Source organism: Homo sapiens, chromosome 3 (genome assembly GCF_000001405.40).
Source record: "Homo sapiens chromosome 3, GRCh38.p14 Primary Assembly".
NCBI classification, from domain to species: Eukaryota; Metazoa; Chordata; class Mammalia; order Primates; family Hominidae; genus Homo; species Homo sapiens.
This window is the reverse complement of record NC_000003.12, coordinates 155,012,991-155,034,637: the sequence shown is the minus strand read 5'-3', so window position 1 is coordinate 155,034,637 and position 21,647 is coordinate 155,012,991. Positions and strand designations below refer to the sequence as shown.

The 21,647-nt window shown below is 38.9% G+C and overlaps 1 protein-coding gene across 1 annotated transcript in view, besides 1 other annotated feature; it reads right to left on the bottom strand.

The window, feature by feature from the left end:
- MME (membrane metalloendopeptidase) overlaps positions 1–10,436 on the bottom strand; it is a 159,528-nt gene extending 149,092 nt beyond the window's left edge. The window contains exon 1 of the mRNA NM_001354642.2: positions 10,314–10,436. The gene's annotated coding sequence lies outside the window, so the exon portion shown is untranslated. The remainder of the gene's footprint in view (positions 1–10,313) is intronic.
- Positions 7,004–7,298: a silencer, noted in NCBI's record as "tiled region #12262; HepG2 Repressive non-DNase unmatched - State 24:Quies". NCBI's record gives its function as "represses a minimal TATA promoter and a strong SV40 promoter by Sharpr-MPRA in HepG2 cells {active_cell/tissue: HepG2}" and the evidence as "EXISTENCE:reporter gene assay evidence [ECO:0000049][PMID:27701403]".

Sequence of the window (21,647 nt, the reverse complement as noted above, 5' to 3'; positions counted from 1 at the left end):
TCATTTGTGCTTTATAAAAATCTCAATTGCATCATATTCCCTCTTAACCTTCTGAAATCTAATCAATCACAGATATTGAAGCCATGTTCAAAAAACCCTGTAAATTGTTTTCTTCCTTGTTAATAAGGCTCTGTACCTCTTCTAAAGTTAGACAGACTGCACAAGGCCAGGAAAACATCACTTCTAACCTCTTGCTCCTAAAATCAAGTTGATAACTATGGTCTGTATTTCTAATGAGGTTTTTAGGTATAAAGGAAATTATTTATTATTGCCAGGGAATCTCCACTTGGGCAGAAAAAGCATACTTGGAGGGAAAATAAATCTCAGAAAACAACCAAAGCACATTCTGGGACTCAGAAATGAACTGGTGGTAAGTTTCTTTGATGGTCAGAGAACACACCCACCCAAATCCTCTTTGTGAACTGTGGCTACAGTGCTCTGGTACTTGCTATATAGGTAAAGGATTTCTATTTTAATCTTGTATACAGATCAGGTCTTCAAAACTCACATCTTACTGTTAAGTTGAGGAGGAAGGCATGCTTCTTAGAAATGACTTTGGAGGTAGTCTTTTTCCCTGTGTACATTTTAAAAATCTGTGGCCTAATTTCTTAAGGCAATTGACCTAGTGTGCTGCATATATTAATTGAGATAATACGCTAATTTTGAATCTGTTGGTATCTTAGGTTTAAGGAATGTCTCCCAGTGTAGGTGTAATTGAATTCTATATTGCCTCAAGTTTATTCTGGTCCAAGGGAAGAAAGTTATATGGGATTTTTATCAACATTTTAATTAGGCTTTTGGTGGTTACTGACCCCTGATGGACTACATTTTTTTTTAATAAAACATAGGTATATCTGTTCATTGTATTCACTACAAACTGCCTGCTCTTTTGACATGCCCTCAATTGCTTGGTGGATGCATTTTCTTATTTGTTTAATCTGCTAGTTCAGCCTTGAAGAACTGATAGACTGTTTTAACATCAAATAGGAAGCAATGTTTAGCCAACAAATGTTGCCTTTTAACATTGAAGTCTCTCTTATTTTATCTTTAAACTGTAAAAAATTCAAGTAGTTGATATTCTCATCTAACCATGAGTTTTAACTTTATTAGTATTTATAACAATAGGCATTTTCACTTGATCTATTAAAATTCCATTATAATGAAGCTTGTTACATAGTTTCCACCATAGTTTTGAATGAATAGAAAACAGTTTTTGAAACATATAACTTGCAAATAAAGAAAAGCTTAATATAATAGATTTAAACTTGAAGGTGGGCAATATTGTCTATTCTAACGTCAGCAATATATTAAGGGATTTCACTGTATTTTCTTCTTATCATGTTCACAGCAGTTTATTATGAAATAGAACAAAATTTCAGGACACTCTAAATTTATGGTGCCAAAGAGGAAGTTAAGCCCTGGAGCCTGAGTCACATAGCATGTTTGCAATTCTGCTTCTTAGGTTATAGCTTAACTCTCTTCTTTAATGTTCTTGTTCTGTAAATGACTAAAAGAGACAGAAACCAGATCTCCCCTCTTCCAATCACAGGTCTTTTTTATAGATTAACTTTCTCCTTTATTGCCCTGTACCTAACTCAGACCAGATGCCACACAAGATTCCATGACAGTTACATCTTTAGTATGGAATGTTAAATATGCCTTTCCCAAAAGAAAAAGACCACCTCAGCTAATTAGATCATTGTAACTATGCATTAAGCCTTACATAGAAAGAGGTTGAAATTCTGTTAAACTTCTCTAGCTTTGTCTATATAAGTGATTCCAAACTTCTGTGCTTCAAAACATTGGCTTCCATTTTTTGTAATCTCTTTTTCTTGTATAGTCTATCCTCGAACTTTGTGTTTGAATAAACTCTCTTTAAACTAGATTCTGACCCTTTTGATTATTTTAGGTTGACATTTTGGTGACCCAGGGGGACCAGAAGCAAGCCTCCTGTGATCCCTGTCATTTTGCCCACAATTAGAGACTTGATCCCAGCACGAATGGTTTTTGTTCATCTGACCTTGCCAGAGCCAGTGGGCATCTGTTGAGGCTCCTTTCAGATTTCAAATCTCCCTGATTTTGATTTGAGATTCAGACTGTATTCAAGCAACCTAATTCACAGTCAATGGAGTTGGAATTGAAGCTCTGCTTTTAAGATAGGAGTTTCATTGGTTATTTTCTAGAGATTTTGCTGACTGCAGATTTGGGATTTTTACTTTTTACTGAGGTTTTGAATGTCTTTCTTGTTAGAGTTTGCAACATTTTCTGTTGTATGAAATTTGGTCAAGGAGAAACAACTTCTTTTTAAAAACAAAAAGTGAAATAATTGTGGCTTAAGGGAAAATTTGTAATCTTTAAAACTGGTCAGATTCTGAAGCTTGATTCAATTGACAAATCTAATCTTTCTCCTTAAATGAACAAAATTTCTCCTACAAGATCTTTTTGGTCATTCAAAAGGAAAATCTAAATTATGGACTATCGTACCTCTAAAGGAGAGATCTATCTTTAAAAACTACAGTGAGATTTATGTATAATATTTATGGTGTTACCTCACATCAATATCTAGAAAAATGGTTTTACTTAAGCTGTGAAGACCCCAAACTAAAATAGTGAAAATGGGGTACCTTGGAAATAGCTACATTAGTTTATCTGCATGTTTAATTAAAAACAAAAGCTGGTGGCCGGGTGCGATGGCTCATGCCTGTTATCCCAGCACTTTGGGAGGCCAAAGCGGACGGATGATCTGAGGTCAGGAATTCGAGACCGGCCTGCCAAACATGGCAAAATCCCGTCTCTACTAAAAATACAAAAAAGTAGCCGGGTGTGGTGGTGGGCACCTGTAATCCCAGCTACTTGGGAGGCTGAGGCAGGAGAATCACTTGAACCCGGGAGGCAGAGGTTGCAGTGAGCCAAGATCTTGCCACTGCACTTCAGCCTGGGCGACAAGAGCGAAACTCTGTCTCAAAAACAAAACAATACAAAACAAACAAAAAGCAAAAGCTGGCTATAAAATAAAAACAAAACAACCTAGAGAGCTATTTTTCAATGGTACTTAGAAGCTTCTAAAAGACATTCTGATAAAGTCATTTCTTTACAAGAGATTGCCTAAAACTATTTCTAAATTTAAAAAGACATTCAAAGTTTTCTCCCTTTTATTTCCAACTACTCCTTCTTCTTCCTCTATGATCTGAACTTACCTCTTTCTGCTTGTTCCCTCAACTCCCACACATCTCTTAGGCAAATTTTTGGAATTCCATATTGCACAATTTTCTTTCTCTCAAAAGGGGAAAATGTATTTAAATTTGGACCAGAGGGAACAGAGTTGCTACAGAATGAAAATGAAACTACTGAAATTATAAAATACAGATCCAACAATTTTTTTTCTAAACTGGAATTAATAAATGACACTTATGATTTATTGACCTAATATCAGATGATACCCTTTAAATACCCTGCTCTTAAAGATGTAAAGCTTAACATGTCTGTAAAATGTTAACATTCAAGGGATTAGCTAAGCAACATTACAGCTGAAACAAGTTAAAATCCTTTACATCTCAAAGTTCCCTCTTTGGATCCCCTGTAGGACTTAAAGAAAATCATTCCAAACTGCAGTCTATGGCTAAGATTCTGTGCTGCTATGACTGTGACCCAGGATGAATTCCCTATCAGGGAACCAGTCTTATTTGTTTTAAATTATTCATATGACTCTTGATCTTTTGGAGTAACCATTTATTATTGATTTTTTTTCCTCTTCCATGGACAGATTTTCACATCCGGTCTCTCCATCTGTGGGGCATACAAGGCTTTTGGACCTTCATGCATAGGCACTTAGCTGACAAGCTGAGATCGTAGAAAATACAGCCAGACAGAAATGTGACATGTATTCCATTTGCAGCTAGCAAAACTTTTCTTTCTTTGAGCTGTCTTTGGGGTGATCCTATATCTTGTGAGGATTGCTTGGCACCTCTTTGGAGATGCCTAGCTTATTATCAGTTAAGTCATAAACTTTGTTAAGATGTATTGGTTTGTGAAAAAATACTCTTGGTTTAAACTAGAAAAAAAAAAGCTGGATAAAGTGTTTATAAAAGATAGGACTTCAGGCAAAGTATTCTTGTTTCTTTTCGGAGCTATCTACACTGAGTACAGATACAGAAAATGCTTTCTTTGCCCTATCGATTAAAGGGCTACACCCTGAAGTCAATAATCTAACAACAACAACAACAACAAAAACAAAACAAGCAAAGTTGAAAAGACCACCTAAGTGTAGATTGGTCTCCAAAATATGACTTTCTGGGATTTAGCTGGCTATTTTGAAATTCTATATAAAAGAAAAAATTATACTTACAAAGAAAATCTCCATTTGTAAGGGCATCTCCCTCCTGTACCTAAACCACTAGAAACTTTTACAGTGAGGAAGACATTGGCTTAAAGTTTATATAATTTACCATTCTTAAGACACTTTTCTCAACCATTTTATCTTGATTGAATCTTTACCTATTCCCTTTTTTGTCTGAACAAATAATGGCGTTTAGATCTAATTTCTGTGCCTTTGGGATGTAAATGTTCACCTAAAAGTCATGTCTTTGGGCATGCAAATTGAGGATTGCCTAACTAACAATTGCTTAGGCCTCAATAGTCTAAAGGGAGAGAAAAACTATTTAAAAATTGGTAAATGAAGAATATTCTAAAGGCATAAGATCTATTTCTGTCTGTGTGCCTATATGTCTATATATTTATATGTGTCATGAGTATGTGATATTTCACTATCAAAATGTGGGAAAGAACTTTAATTAATTGGCTTAGAGGAAAATTAAGTACTTAAGTATTTTATCAGAAAAATAGAAACTAACTCAAATGCCTTTTCGTTCACATGATTTTAGTATTCTTTGGCAAGTAGAACTAGTTTTAAAATTGTTGCCAAAATAACATGTAAATGTCTTCAGAATTGTTAGTATTAAATATAATTCATACATTTTGCCAGGGTCTACTGCTCAGACAGGGTTACACTGTTTCTAATAGATATTTTAAGGTCCTAAAACTGTTCATTTTGTTATACTTTTGATACTTGCTTGACTTGGCTTGAGCTAAATTAATTTTATGTGTAATTAAATACTAGATACGGGAAAAATAGTCTTGATGCAAATATAAAAAAGATTTATCTTTAGAAAAAACAAAAACATAAAAATGTGGTTTTTTAGTAAAAAATTAATTTGTCTAGTTTAAGAGGTTATTTAAATTAAAGGACTATGATATAAATAAAACTAAAAGGACCTAAAATATTGGAGAAAGGAATAAATAGAAAAAAATTTTTTAAGAAGTTATAAAAGGTTTATGAAACTCTTATATGGTCAAAGTTGGTTGAGATTGGATGGATTTGTTTTTAAGGTTTTATTAAAATTGGCTTTAGTATTGATAATACACTAATACAAAAGTAAAATTTGGTTTCCTCCTTTTTGTGTAGTATTAACAAGAAATAGTAAGAAAAATTGTGCTTCCCTTTTGCATGAACTGCAAAAATTTGGACAAAGGAAGAGACAGATTCTGTTGGTCTCATGTTGTGTTTATTAGGACTTTGTTTAATAACTTTGATCTCCTTTCTATCAAAGATTAAAAGTTTTTGCTTTTTGTGAAACCTTTACATGATCACTTTGGCTAAATGATTGACTTATTTTACCATAACCTGTGATTCTGTTTTGATATGAAGTGTTTTAAACCTTTGATATTTGCTGTACTTCCCCAAATCAAATTTCAAACACTAAAATTAAGTCTTTGTAGCCCAAACTAACTTGTAAGTAACAAAAAGAAACCCCTAGAAGTCCAAGAGAGGCAAATTTAGACTGGAATGAATTCTTTTTAAAAATAAATGCTGACCCTTTTGATTACTTTAGGTTGACATTTCAATTGACAATAAAGATGTAATGCTACCAAAAATCATTTTACTTTAGCCTGACGTTTGATCCTAAACTTCTGAGACAGTCAGAATTCATTTAGAATAATTACACCTTTCATTTCCAAGATACAAGACTTGGAAAAGTCTGCTATCTTGCTCTGATGATCTGTTCCTCCATCTATAAAGTGTGGCTAGCCTTCTGAAGATATAATCAGACATAAACGTAGAAATGTGGAAAGCAGGTAGTACAGCATCTGCTACACCAGGTGATCCCCTTGCTAATAATGAGCAGCCACATTGCCTCCTGCCTTTTCCTCACTCCTGTCCTTAGGCTTTACCCTAACTGTCCTCTCTATTCCCAGATTATTACATGGCTGGCTCCTTTCAACATGCAGCTCTCACTTCATTGGCAAGGTAACCACCCAATCTCATGTATTCCCCATTTCTAATTAGGTTGTGCCACATTAATCCATTTTATGGTTCTCTTAGTCCTTATCACTAAACACAATTAACTTATTTGTCTGTTTACTTGTTTCTCTTCTGTCCTATCTTTATAGAAGAGAAGATCCTGGAGAGTAGAAATGTTGTCTGTTTCACTAAATCTCCAGAGCCTAGAAAGGTGCATGATAATAGGCATCAAATGAATGAATAAATGATGGTCCTCACCCCTTTCCTTTCACTGAGTCCATTCCCATTTTAAAAAGAAGGCAGAATTCTCTCTTTAGGGTTACATTTACCCATGCATGAATAGATTGCTAGAAATTAGTAAACAGATAATACAAGGCAAAAAAGTACATCTCTATTTGATTGTGCTGATGAAAAGTAAAAATATTAATATATTTGAGGTAAAAGATTTATTTCATTTATTCAGTCAACAAACTTTTTGAGTATCTATTATGTGCTTAGGATTGGGCTAGCTGTGAAGGTTAAAATGCATAAAACTATAAATCATATAGTTTAAAAAGCACCTAATCTCATTGTCAGAGTAAACTATTTGTGTGTTTTTAATCTGTTGCCTTTTAGCCAGTTATACCTTTAATGCTATTAAAATGCTAAAATTCTATCTAAGCCTACTGTTAAGGGATTCTATAGAAGAAATCCTAACACAAAGAAATTTAACAACAGTAATATTTGAGCTGGGCCTTTAAGATTGAATAGAGGTTTTCAGATCAGGGAAAGGAGGAAGAGCACTCAGATAAAGCAAGTAGCATGAGCAAAGGCCCAGAAGGGCCCTGGCACTCTGTATGTGCTGAGGGCAGGGAAGGTGGTTGGGAGAAATCCGCTAATAGCCTTTAAGGCTGAACAAGCACAGCAGGGAGTGAGCAGGACTAGAAAGATAAATTGGAACCTTGAAGAACCATAAAAACCTTGCCCAGGGCTTTAGACTTTACAGGAAATAGGAGTGTAAGATCAGATCTGCATTTTAGAGAGCTCTTCCTTATGGTTGTGTAGATGAGGGAAGTGTTACGTACAAGAGAAGAGAGAGACAGGAAGCATTGAGAGATTAGAGCAGGAATCCAGGCAATATATCAAGAAGCCCTGACTCAGGGCAGTTCTGAAATGAGTCCAAGGAAGAGATGGATTTGAGAAAAATTTAGCAGGGTAGCACTGCCAAACCAAAAATGATTTTGGAAATGTCTAAGTATATTGACAAATATTAGAAATGCAAAGAGAAGCTTGAGACTTCAGTTTCTGGGATGTTGAAATTGAGGTGCTTGCAAAATACCCAGGCTAAATAGATCTATTGGGTAATTTAATATTTGAATCAATGCTTGTTAAAATTATTATTACTGTCTGAGTAGATAGACAGAATAAAGTAGCAAATCTATTGTAAACTCTTGTTTTGTTTAAAGACATAAAGGAAAAAGAGGTTAGGAAACATCATCAACCTGCTTCTGGACATTTGTGTTTCTACAGCTTTATTTATGAAGAATCACACTCAGATACTAGGATAGCTGGATGAGGGTATTACTTAAGAGGCTTCTTTTTCTTTCTTGCTTGCTTTTCTGGGGGAGGTGGGGGGAATGGGACAGAGTCTCACTGTCACCCAGTCTGGAGTCCAGTGACATGATCTCGGCTCAGTACAACCTCTGCCTGTGGGGTTCAAGCGATTCTTATGCCTCAGGCTCCCAAGTAGCTGGGATGAAAGGCACGCGCCACCACACCCAGCTAATTTTTGCAATTTTAGTAGAGACGGGATTTCACCATGTTGCCCAAGCTGGTCTTGAATTCCTAACTTCAGGTGATCCACCCACCTCGGCCTCCCAAAGTGCTGGGATTACAGGTGTGAGCCACTGCGCTCAGCCAAGGCTTATTTTTCTTACAGGGAAGTAGTGATCTAACTCTGTCTTTGACCTTGAGGGACTAGTGATAATAACAATAAAAAAAGCCATTCAGTGGTAGAAGTGGGATTTAAACCCTAGCACCTTGGCTCCAGAGTTCATTTTTTTAACCCATTTGAGTTTCCTGACTGACAAGTTGTGAGGGCCTCAATGAATAGATAAATGGACACTGAGCTGGGAGTGTTCCTTAAAACAACTCCACCCACCCCCCTACCCCAACAAACAAACAAACCCTAAGCATTCAATCCTGTTTGCTTCAGTTTCCCAAGGGAAATGCATGGAGCATGCCTATAGCAGAACAGATCAATGTAACTGCTGTTAGAATGTCCATGGCTACACTGGCAAAAGAGGGGCAGAATCTGTACTTTCTTTCTGTGTTTGGCTTTTTTTTAGGATTATTAATATTTCTATGGTTTGCTAAAACCTGATACCTGATATCTTTTAGTCTGCAAAAATCTGATACCAGGCAGATAACTTGAGGTCAGGAGTTCAAGACCAGCCTGGCCAACATGGTGAAACCCCATCTCTACTAAAAATATAAAAATTAGCTGGGTATGGTGGCGGGCACCTGTAATCCCAGCTACTTGGGAGGCTGAGGCAGGAGAGAATTGCTTGAATCCAAGAGGCAGAGGTTGCAGTGAGCCGAGATCGTGCCATTGCACTCCAGCCTGGGCGACAGAGTGAAACTCTGTCTCAAAAAAAAAAAAAAAAAAAAAGAAAGAAAGAAAGAAAAAATCTGATACCACTTGGTATCTACTTTGTCTCTACTTTTTTTTTTTTTTGAGACAGGGTCTCGCTCTGTCTCCCAGGCTGGAGTGCAATGGCACTATCTCGGCTCACCGCAACCTCTGCCTCCTGGGTTCAAGTGATTCTCCTGGTTCAGCCTCCTGAGTAGCTGGGATTACAGGTGCCTGCCACGATGCCCAGCTAATTTTTGTATTTTTGTAGAGATGGGGTTTCACTTTGCTGACCAGGCTGGTCTCGAATTCCTAACCTCAAGTGATCCACCCACCTCGGCCTCCCAAAGTGATCCATACTTTGTCTCTACTTTTGCCTACAAATTTCCCCTAGTTCTCCAGAATTCATTTACTGTGCACCCTGACACCAATTTTAGAAGAATAAAGCACAAACCCATCAGAGTTTATCTCTGGTCACTGGCACAGTTGGCTGAGTAGATGTGTCCTCCCCATTGGCAGGCATATAGTGGCAAAGGCTGGGCTGCACCCTGGGTGGTGTTTTTCCTCTCAGAGCCAGAGTAAGAGGTTTGAGTGTTGCAGATACTCTGCTCCACCTTTCAGGAAGATGCATCCCTCATTATCTGCCCCTGGGGCCCTACCTAACAAGCCTGATCTTTCTGCGAGACAGACTTCACATATTTGGAGACAGCTATTAAGTTCAGTGGGTCTATTTTCTCCAAGTTGAAAAAATCACACTTTTTCAGCTATTTTTCATGTGGCATGGTTTTGAGTTGTTTGATGGTCCTTCCTATGCTTCCAAAGATATCACCCCAATTCCCCTCTACTTCCTGCAGCAGTAATTCTACCATAGGCAGGACCATTTTTATTTTTCATTGTAGACATTTTCTGCATTCATATATAATTTTATGTGCACATAAGTATGCACCTTTATAGGAAATGTATCTCTACGACAGATGTCCCTTTTTCTATGTTATGCTCTTATTTCTAAAATTGTTCACCAAAAATGACCAAATCAGGGCAAGATCAGTGCAAAAAGTATCAATAAAATAGACACATGTTGATAATATCAGTTATAATATAGCAGAAAAAGTGGAATGATATCAATATATAAAGTTAAGGTTGAATGGCATTACTCCCCTCCTTTATTTACAACTTTATTGTCCTCTCTTCAGACTGCCAGCTCTATTTATTATTCTTGTGAAAACAACATAAATCAATACATACACCAAATTAAGCATCAAGTTGGGGCATGGGAGTGGATTAAGAGCTGCATAAAGTGAAATGCTAACAGCATAAATTATATCAGTGTAGATAAGATTCTCAGGCTTCAACTAAAGTTAAGCAGTTAGTAATAAATTTAAAAAATGAAACTCAACTACTTACAGCCAAGAGCGTGTGTAGTGTAAACTCCCCCACATTCATATGCTGTACACCCTTGGGCCAGCTTTCAGAGGAGCAAGTCACAAATCCATCACTGTGTATCCCCAGCCATGGTAGGCACCAATTCCTGGTGAAAAAGGAATCCCAGTTTTCAATCTCCAGTGATAACCATCAACAACCATTCGTCATACTCAGTAGGAATGTGGAAAAAACAACACTCACTGGGTGTTTTTTTTCTGCTCTCACTACAACAACTGACACATACTTCTTTTTTTTTTTTGGAGATGGAATTTCACTCTTGTTGCCCAGGGCAATGGTGCCATCTCGGCTCATTGCAACCTCCACTTCCTGGGTTCAAGAGATTCTCCTGCCTCAGCCTCCCGAGTAGCTGGGATTACAGGGGCCCGCCACTATGCCCAACTAATTTTTGTATTTGGAGTAGAGACAGGGTTTCACCATGTTACCCAGGCTGGTCTTGAACTCCTGACCCCAAGTGATCTGCCCACCTCAGCCTCCCAAAGTGTTGGGATTACAGGCGTGAGCCACTGCACCTGGCCTTGACACAGACTTCTGTGACCGAATGTATGTGGGTTTTTCCCCACACATGAAGCAGAGGACACCAGCTGGGTTTCCTCTAATTCAATTCTGACACTACCTGGAGATAGCCTTGGATCCCTAGGTTGAGGACTCAGTCCCCAAGACTTCCCCCACCCAGTTCAGACACCAGTCACAAGTCCAAGCTCCAGAATTTCTGACCAATCAGCTTCCACTGGGGTTCCTACAGCCGTCTCTTGGGGTTCAATTAGTTTGTTAGAGTGGCTCACAGAACTCAGGGAAACTTATATTTACCAGTTTATTACAAAGATATTTTAAATGATACAAATAAATACCCAGATGAAGAGATGCAAGGGTGAGGTCTGGAAGGATCCTGGACACAGAGGCTTTTGTCCTTGTGGAGTTGGGGTGCACCACCCTCCCGGCACATGGATAAATTCTTGTTTGGTTTCTTATAAACCTCCACGTGTTCAGCTATCCAGAAGCCCCCAAACCCTGTCTTCTTGGATCTTTTATGAAGACTTCATTGGATAAGCATGATTGACAATCATGTAGAAATGTGATTGGACAAAAAGGTATAATTTAGTACAAACAGGCAGAGTGGGAAAACCCAGCAAGGCCTGTCCAGATTCTTCTTGGCATGTCTGTGGAGCAATCCTTCTTCCAGGGTATGGGGCAGAAGGTTCTCTGGAATGAGGGTCTTATGACCCAAAATCAGATTATAGTCCTGCCTCAGGCACATAAAAGGAGGGCAGGGGAGGGTCAGAGAGAGAGAGATCCTGTCTTCTGAGGCCTGTTTCTGAGGCCTAAGGCATCTCAACATTATAACAAAGGCTATGGGACTTATGAGACAGGAACTGTGGATGAAAGCATGTATATCACTCCGGAAGGAGGCCACACCACTGTTCCCAATACTAAAAACTACAAGGCTTTTGTATTCCCACTACATTCCACATATTCTCAACTCTTGTTTTCTGAGTTATTTCCAAGAATGCCTTTGTGTTCTTGTCTCGGTGTCCTCTGAAGTTGTAAACTCACTGCACAGCACACTCACTTCCACAAATAAAAGTTTGAATGGTCTTTGGAAGAGGGCTTTTCTTTGTTGCTACTTCCAGCCCTGGCTCATCAGCCAGACCACCTCAACTCCAAGTTCAGTTACACATTTCCCTAAAGAACATGTTCGTTTTCTTTGCTTTAGCTCTGCTCTCTTTCCCAAGCTTCTTTACAACCTGAAGCCTAGATGCTGAGAGAAGGCAGAGAATAGTCCACTTTCTGTGATCCTGACCTTTTCTATCAGCAGTCTTCAGCAAATCTCTCTCAAGAATTTCCTGGTATAACATACTTTATGGTAGTAGTTTCACTCTTTTATGTTTATTTTTAATCTAAGGCATTTTTTAAAAGAAAAAATCTTATCCAGAAACTAAAAATATTGAAGATGTAAAACTGAGGGGCAGATATGGATTTGGGGGCTGAAGTCTGTATTTGACTCCTTCCCTGATTTGTAAGGCTCCATGGAAAAGACTCTGTGCTTTGGCCTGAATGTTTCTGTCCCTCAAATATTCATATGTTGAAATTCTAACTCCTAAGATGTTCATATTAGGAGGTGGGACCTTTAGTAGGTAATAAGGTCATGAGTGTAGAGCCCTGATTGTTGAGATTAGTGCCTGCTATGGTCTAAATATTTGTGCCCCCCGCCCCAACCTCCAAGTTTATATGTTGAAATGCCAGCCCTCAAGATGATGGTATTGGGAGGTGGGGCTTTGGGGATGATATTGAGAAGTGGGGTCTTTGTGAGACTTAACTCTCATAATTGGGATTAGTACCCTTATAAAAGAGAACCCAGAGAACTGCCTCCCTCTTTTCACCATGTGAAGACACAGTGAGAAGTCATCATTTATGAACCAGAAAATGAGCCTTCATGAGACATCGAATCTGCCAGAGCCTTGATCTTTAACTTCCCAGCCTCCAGAAGTGTGCGATGAAAATTTCTGTTGTTTATATGCTACCCAGTTTCAGGCATTTTGTGATAGGAACCCAAAGGGACTAAGGCAGTGCCCTTATAAGAAGAGAGATGTGAGAGCTGTCAGGCCTCTGAGCCCAAGCTAAGCTATCATATCCCCTGTGACCTGCACGTATACATCCAGATGGCCTGAAGCAACTGGAGATCCACAAAATAAGTGAAAATAGCCTTAACTGATGACATTCCACCATTGTGATTTGTTCCTGCCCCACCCTAACTGATATGATATATTCTTGCCCGCCCTTAAGAAGTTACTTTGTAATATTCTCACTGCCCTTGAGAATGTACTTTGTATGCCTATCCCAAACCTGTAAGAACTAATGATAATCCCACCACCCTTTGCTGACTCCTTTTTCGGACTCAGCCCACCTGCACCCAGGTGAAATAAACAGCCTTGTTGCTCACACAAAGCCTGTTGGTGGTCTCGTCACACGGATGCATGTGACAAGAGCTTGCTTCCTCTCCTTCTACTCTCCACCATGTGAGCGTAGAATGAAAAGATGGCAGTCACTGGATCCATAGGCACTTTGATCTTGGACTTCTCAGGCTCCAGAACTGTGATAAATAAATTTTAATTGTTTAAGCCACCCAGCCTATGATACTCAGCCAGTTATAGTAGCCCGAACTGGCTGAGACACCTCGAAAAACACTATTTGAAGTGGGGTGTCTTAGCATGCACCCTGTTTTTTGTTTTGTTTTGTTTTTTTGAGACAGAGTCTCGCTCTGTCGTACAGGCTGGAGTGCAGTGGCACGATTTCAGCTCACTGCAGCCTCTGCCTCTGAGGTTCAAGTGATTATCCTGCCTCAGCCTCCCCAGTAGCTGGGATTACAGGCATGTGCCACCATGCCTGGCTAATTTTTATTTTTAGTAGAGACGAGGTTTCACCATGTTGGCCAAGCTAGTTTCAAACTCCTGACCTCAGGTGATCTGCCTGTCTCGGCCTCCCAAAGTGCTGGGATTACAGGCGTAAGCCCACTCCCAGCCACACCTTGTTAAGCTAATTTAAAGTCTCCTTTTCTCCCTCCCTCCTTCTCTATCTCTTCTCCTTCCCTCTCTCCTTCTCCCTCTCTTTCTCTCTCACTCTTTCTTTTTCCATATAGCTCCAGTTTTATTTTAAAGCCCGAATACTTTCTCTCCAGGTTATTCTGAAAACATTTTTTCTTATTTTTCTCTTCATTAACTTTTCCTTTGGCACTCTATAAAAGCCGTGATCTTACTGAGTTCAGAACATTTTTCTGTATACTTTTTTTTTTTTTAAGACAGAGTTTCATTCTGTCACCCGGGCTGGAGTGCAGTGGCGTGATCTTGGCTTACCACAACATCTGCCTCCTGGGTTCAAGCGATTCTCCTGCCTCAGCCTCCTGAGTAGCTGGGATTACAGGTGTGCACCACCATGCCCGCCTAATTTTTGTATTTTTAGTAGAGATGGGGTTTCACCATGTTGGGCAGGCTGGTCTCAAACTCCTGAACTCATGATCTGCCTGCCTTGGCCTTCAAAATGCTGGGATTACAGGCATGAGCCACCACTCCCGGCCTCTCTGTATTACTTTCAACAAGCATTTACTGAGTACTTATGTTCCAGGCACTGGAAAAACAACCAAATGAACAAAAATTCCTGCCCCCATGGAATTCTCATTCAAGTGGGGCAAAACAGACAGTAAACAAAATAAATAAATAATGAAGTAGAAAGTCTTAAGTATTACAGAACAAAGTAAACTAGGAGGGTAAATAGAAAGCATGTGAGTGGGTGGTTTCAGCTATAAATTGTGTACCTTGAAGAAGGTGAACAGTGGGTAATATCTTGAGGATGAGCAGCTCAGGGACAAAGGCCCCTGGGTGACTATGCCTCTGGCATTTGGCATGTTGGAGGAACAGCAAAAGGCAGAGTGGATGAAGGGGTGTAAATAAAGCTGAGAGTAGGAAATGAGTTTGAAGAGACACAGAGAGGCCAATCTTGCAGGGCCTTGTAAACTGTTACAAGGACCTTGGCATTTGCTCTGAGAGAGAATGGGAGTCATTGGAGAGTTATGCTAACTACAAGCTCTGGTTTATATTCTTCAAGGATTACTTGGCTGCAGGGTGTGAAGAGACTGAAGCAGGGCAAAGGTGAAAGCGGGGAAACCTTTTGAAGAGGCCTTTACTTTAGGAAGTCCTTAACTCATAAACTTACCTCAGCCAATACATTGTTGGTCTCTTACTGTTTCCAGGCATTGGGTTAGGCATTAGGGAGATGATAGTCAAAAGACTCGGTAATTATTTTATTTGTTTCTGTCCACACCAAGACTTTTTTTGTTTTTTGGGTTTTTATGGTTTGTTTGTTTTGTTTTGTTTTTTTGCTAGTTTACCAGACTATATAAAAATGTGTGGCTTACAGTTGACATTCCTGTTATTCTACTTCCAGGGAATGGACATTTAACATTATCTATTCTTATTTTAATTAAGACATCTTTGAATACATTCAATTGCTCTGAAAAAATCTGCCCGTATCTCTAAGGCAATGCAATTTTCTGAAATTTTACCATGGTGTCTTATTGAGATTGCACAAGGTTATCTGCTCTAACAGTTTAGATAATATCATCCCAGAAAAAAGACATCCAGTTGCCGTACACATGGTTGCAAGGTGGTGATTCACTGATTAGCAAAACATATCAAGTTCCTGCTTGACACCCAGGGAAGGAGGTGTAACTTAGGGAAAACACTGCAAAACAGGAAGTCATCAGACTTAGGTTTGCATCCTCCTCAATTACTCAACTATTCACTGTGACTTTGAATTTACCACATGTAATCCTTACCTTCTTTGAGCCTTAGCTTCATCCTCTGTCAAATGGACATGGTAAGAGTTCCTGAGCCTCCTCTCTCGGGAATCTGAGGAGATGAAGTGAGCTGAAGCAGTGTGGGTCTGTGCTCTGTAAAGTACTCAGTGCAAGACTGCTGTCATTCTTTGCCAAATACCGCCAACCTCTGAGTGAAATTGTTCTTGGAATCTCCCAACTTCTTGAGCATTGTGTGTTGAGGTATAGGATTTCTTAAATGTTTTCTTACATGTCGGACTCCAGAATCTCTCTCCAATTTGATTCTGACATCAGTAAGAGTACTGACTCTGGTTTTCACTCCTGTCTAGTGATGAGGTTGAGTGGGTCTCTGCAGGGTTAGACCAGGCTATTCTAGCCAAGCTCACCAAATCGCTGAAAGGCCAGGAAAACCCTGGAGGGAGACACTAACACTGTTAACAATTCCTGTGGAGATCCTAAAAACTGCCTTCACAATTCTCTTATATGTCCATAATTTTCCCTGATGGAAACATGGTTTATATGTGCAGAAGACAAGGCCACATCAAGAGAGTGAGGTTTTTTGTTGTTGTCATTTTGTTTTGTTTTGTTTTTGACAGAATCTTGCTCTGTCACCCAGGCTGGAGTGCAGTGGTGCGATCTCGGCTCACTGCAACCTCCACCTCCCAGGTTCAAGCAATTCTCCTGCCTCAGCCTCCGGAGTAGCTGAGACTACAGGCACTCTTTATCATACCTGGCTAATTTTTGTATTTTTAGTAGAGAAAGGGTTTCACCATGTTGGCCAGGCTGGCCTTGATGTCATGATGTCAGGTGAGCCACCCACCTTGGCCTTCCAAAGTGTTGGGATTACAGGCATGAGCTACTGCACTCAGCCAATAGTGAGGTCTTTAACTGTGCTTCCACCAAGAAGAGGGACATGTACCAGTGAGCATTATCCTCCCCATTTGTTGCTGTAAAATTTTTGAGAATTGTTACTTTGTGCTATGCAGTGAATAGTAGTTTGATTCCTAGATACTGATCTCTATTTTTCCTGGCCTTTAGTCTCCTATAAGTCAAAAGAATCAAATTAATTAATCTAACAAGTGTTTATTAGGCACCCATTGGGAGCATATGATTATGTCATACTAGAGGTGATACCAGGAATTCTGGGATGCTGGTTTATAAGTGACTAGCTATTAATAAATTTCTTTTTCAGGTATCATAAGGAAGGAAGAATAAATTATGAAAATATTGTAGTATAAAAAAATGAACATATCTACTAGGAGGATTCATGAAGACTTATAAGCATTGATTCATGTAATTAAAATTATGATGACTATTTAAAGTCTGTTTAGAAGAAGTATATGTTGATTATTATATTGAAAGTATAAAATATTTTTAAATGATGCTAAAATGTTATTTGATAAAGTCTATATTAATATAAAGAAGACTTAGAATATATATGCTATAAGCCTGGTGCAGTGGCTCATACCTATAATCCCAGCACTTTGGGAGACTGAGGCAGGAGGATATCTTGAGCCCAAGAGTTCGAGATCAGCCCTGGTCAACATAACAAGACTCCATCTTTACTAAAATGCAATTTTTAAATAAATAAAATTTTAAAAATAAATAAGATAAAAAGTAATAATTTTTTAAAAGATTACATATGTTATGGACTGATTCTGTCTCCCTAAAACTCAATGTGTTGAAGACCTAACCCCCAGTAACTCAGAATGTGACTGTATTTGTAGATAGGGACTTTGAAGAGGTAAAAAGAGGTAATACGGTTGGTCCCTAATCCAATATGACTGGTGTCCTTATAACAAGAGAAAATTTGGACACACAGAAAAATACGAGGGGTAAGGGTGCTCTGAGGGATGGCCATATGAAGAGCATCCACAAGTCAAGGAGAGAGGTGTCAGGGGAAACCAGCCCTGCTGGCACCTTGATCTTGGACTTCAGAACTGTGAGAACAAATTTCAATTGTTAGAGCCACTCATTCTGTGGTATTTTGTTACAGCAGTCCTAGCAAACTAATACAATATAGCAAGAAAAAGCAGCAACTTGGATGACAAAAAATTAAGGTATTGAGGGTAACAAATGGAATGTGATTAAAGGAGAAAAAAACCCCGATATATATAATATGCTTATTCTGCTCACTAAGAAGTATACACATCTTGAAACCCAGTACCCAAGAATATATCAATATGTAAAGAGAGAATGTAATTAAAACGTTTTGATTGTTGAATTTAGAAAGTAGCTACATGGAACAATAAAGGTCATTAAGTATAACCCAGTTTCACAAAGGAGACTCAGAGAAGTTAAGCTATTTAAGCAGTGCCACTCAGCAAGCAAAGGGGAGGACTCGGGCCAGACTCCCTCATCTTCTGACTTTAGGTTCAGGGATGCTGCACTGAACAGCTTTTCTGCTGGTTTAAACTGTGCTACAGGTTTGTTCCAATTAGCATGATGGCACACTTTCATTTACTGGGGAGTTGTATTTAGCTTATGCCCATCTTTTGGAATCATTTTCACTGAAACAACAACAAAAGAAGCAATGAACCCTATCATAGCAGTTTTACTCTGTGTGGGTGGCTTTCTGAAGGGCTTTGTCTATTTGCACTGTAAGGAAATCAAACACATAAGCCAGATGATAGGAATACTTTTCACCTACAGGAATTTGCTTAACTATTCATATTAAAGGACTTCTTAAAGTGCAGAAACAAACACAGCTACACCCACTTTACTTATACCTTCAGCCTGCCTTACAAAGTGGATGAGGGTGAACCTTTGTTTGAAACAATTACTTAAATATGTGTGTGTGAGGGAGTAGGATTTGCAAATCAAATCACATAGTTCAGCTAAATATAGCCTTTGTCAGGAGAAATAACTTGTAAGCAAATAAAAACTAACAATTGGAATCCAGTGTAGACCACAATATGGAAATAATGTCTACTTCTCAGAGAATTTCAGACTATAACCATTGTACATCAATCCAGACAGACCCAGTGATGGATAACCCTTGCAAGAAATCACCACTGTAGAGAACAAAAGGAAGTACTGTTCTACTTCATAATGTGGTTTTGAAAAACGAAAAAAACAACGTAAACTTATTGAGCCTCAAGGACTTTGGGGTACAACCTAGAAACAAGAGAGTTTACTGTTTTGTGAAGGACCAAACCATACTTACTGAATCCAATATGACAGATAAAAAGTAGCTGACATTGTCTTTCTGGTCAAGGATAATATTGCTTATACAACTGCCTGTGTGGATGAATGTATATAAAGTATCCAGTGTGAACCCCAAATATCTGAGACAGGTCTCAGTCAATTTAGGATGTTTATTTTGCCAAAAAGTAAAGGACATACGCCTGTGATACAGCCTCAGGAGGTCCTGACGACATGTGCTCAAGGTGGTTGGGGCACAGCTTGGTTTTATACATTTTAGGAAGACATGAAACACCAATCAATATAGGCAAGGTATATGTTGGCTCCATCTGGAAAGGCAGGAAACTTGAAGTCGGTCAGGCGTTTCTAGGTCATAGGTAAGTAAGAGACAAACAGTTGCATTCTTCTGAGTTTCTTCTTTTTTTTCTTTTAAGAATTATTTTTATTTTTATTTCAATAGTTTTGGGGGTGCAGGTGGCTTTTGATTCCATGGATAAGTTCTCTAATGCTGGTTTCTGAGATTCTGGTTCACCCATCACCTGAGCAGTGTACCGTGTACCCATCTTTTGAGTTTCTAATTAGTCTTTCCAAAGGAGACCACACACATGCATTTATCTCAGTGAACAGAGGGATGACTTTGAGTTTTGTCTGTCCTTTGTCCAGAAGGAAATTTCTTGTGAGGGAGGTATGTGGCTTTTTTTTTTATTTTAGTGGCTATCTATTTTAGGCATGGATAATCTAGGAGGCAGGTTTGCCCTACGTAGTTCCCAGCTTGACTTTTCTCTTTGGCTAAGTGATTTGAGTGTCCCAGAATTTATTTTCCTTTCACTCCAATATGCATCCCATTTCACTTTATACCTTTTGTACTTATCAATGTTTCTAGGTAGGGGCAAATCCCCATTTTGTAAATCATGTTACTCTTGGCAGTCATGTTTTTTTCTTCAGATCCCAGTATCTTGCCTAAAGTTAACTCTATCTTTCAGTATTTTGAATTTAGTTCAAATAAAAAATTTTCTCAGCCGGGCGCAATGTCTCACGCCTATGGTGAAACCCCGTCTCTACTAAAAATACAAAAATTACCCGGGCATGGTGGCACATGCCTGTAATTCTAGCTACTTGGGAGGCTGAGGCAAGAGTGAAACTCTGTCTCAAAAAAAAAAAATTCTCAATTTTATGTACATATCTCTATCACTTATACCTGCATGCATTAGTACTGCTTGGTATTTTGCTATCTTTCTATGTGGATATTTGTATTTAATTTGCTCCTTATAAGTCATTTTGGATTTTTCATTGATATCAAACATTAAATATTGGCAGGGAAACACATAATACTATGATAAATTAATATTTTCACAAAACTCTGATAATCAATATTTTCCTGTTTGAAAATAAATGTTTTCAGTTTGGGCAGAAGAAAGTATCATAGGTCACCTGCTATGCTGGCTACACTGGCTGGGTTAGTCCATATATAATTGTGTATATTCTCATTAAACTACATTAACTGTGTGGCCAATAATTACAGCAGACCAACAAATGCAATATGAACTTTGAAATTCAAACATGTATGGGGTGCTTTCTAACTAAGTATAGTATTCTAAAGTTTTGTATTACTCTTTCAGAAAATATTTATTGAGCTCTCCCAGTCAGGTCATGATGAGAAGTTCTGGGTACTCAACAGTGAATAAATCATCTTTCTCTCATAGGTTTATATTTTAGTGTAGTACTAAGCAAACAAATAAGAAAATCAAAGTAAATAAAACAATAGCAAGTTTTAATAAGCTCTGTGACCTGAAGCTCATAGGGTTTGGATTTCATGCTCCATGGAAGACTTTTACACTGAAGAGTAACAAGATACAATTTAGATCTGAAGAAAGCCTCTCACTTGCTCTCCACTGTGGTATGAATGGTTTGGAGGCAAAAGAGTGGAGGCAGGCTATAGTCAGAGAGTTGTTCAGCAGTTGGGCACACAGCAAAGGTAACCTGAACTGAGCTGGCACAGAAGAGATGGAAAGAAGTGTGCAGATTATCCGGAATACAGAATCATCACAGCTTGATGATTGAATATTGTGGCTAGGGGATAAGAGACAGGAAGATATCAGAATGACTCTTAGCGGTCTGGCTTGAGTGTCCACATGGGTGGTGGAGTCATTTATTGAGGCAAGAGAGATTAAGGGACATGTTTTGATTGCAGTGGACATACTAGGATTGAGATTGCTGTGATATGCTATGTCCAACAGGAAGTTGAGTATGTGAACATGAAGTTCCCAGGAAATGTCATGGTGAGAGTAGAATTCATCAGCATATTCCTAGGAACTGATGAACTCACCATGGAAAAAGGATAGAGAGAGAAGCCAAAGGGTGAGGTGAAAACTAGCTTGGAAGTCTGTGGTTTCAAGGAGGAGGGGGTGGGTGGCATCCAGTGCTGCTGAGAGATGAGTACGATGAAGGCAAAGAGGGATCGTTGAACCTGAGAAGCATTTGAAAGTGGAGCCCAGCTGCCTGGGTTTGAATCCTGGCTTTCAAGCTTAGGAACAAAACAAATAGGCCTCCATGTGTCTCTGATTCTCCATTTAAAACATGAATGCCGGGCACGGTGGCTCATGCCTGTTATCCCAACAATTTGGGAGGCCAATGCAGGTGGATCACCTGAGGTCAGGAGTTCAACAGCAGCCTGACCAATATGATGAAACCTCGTATCTACTAAAAATACAAAAATTAGCTAGGCGTGGTGGCATGTGCCTGTAATCCCAGCCACTCGGGAGGCTGAAACAGGAGAATCGCTTGAACCCGGGAGGTGGAGGTTGCAGTGAGCCGAGATCGCATCA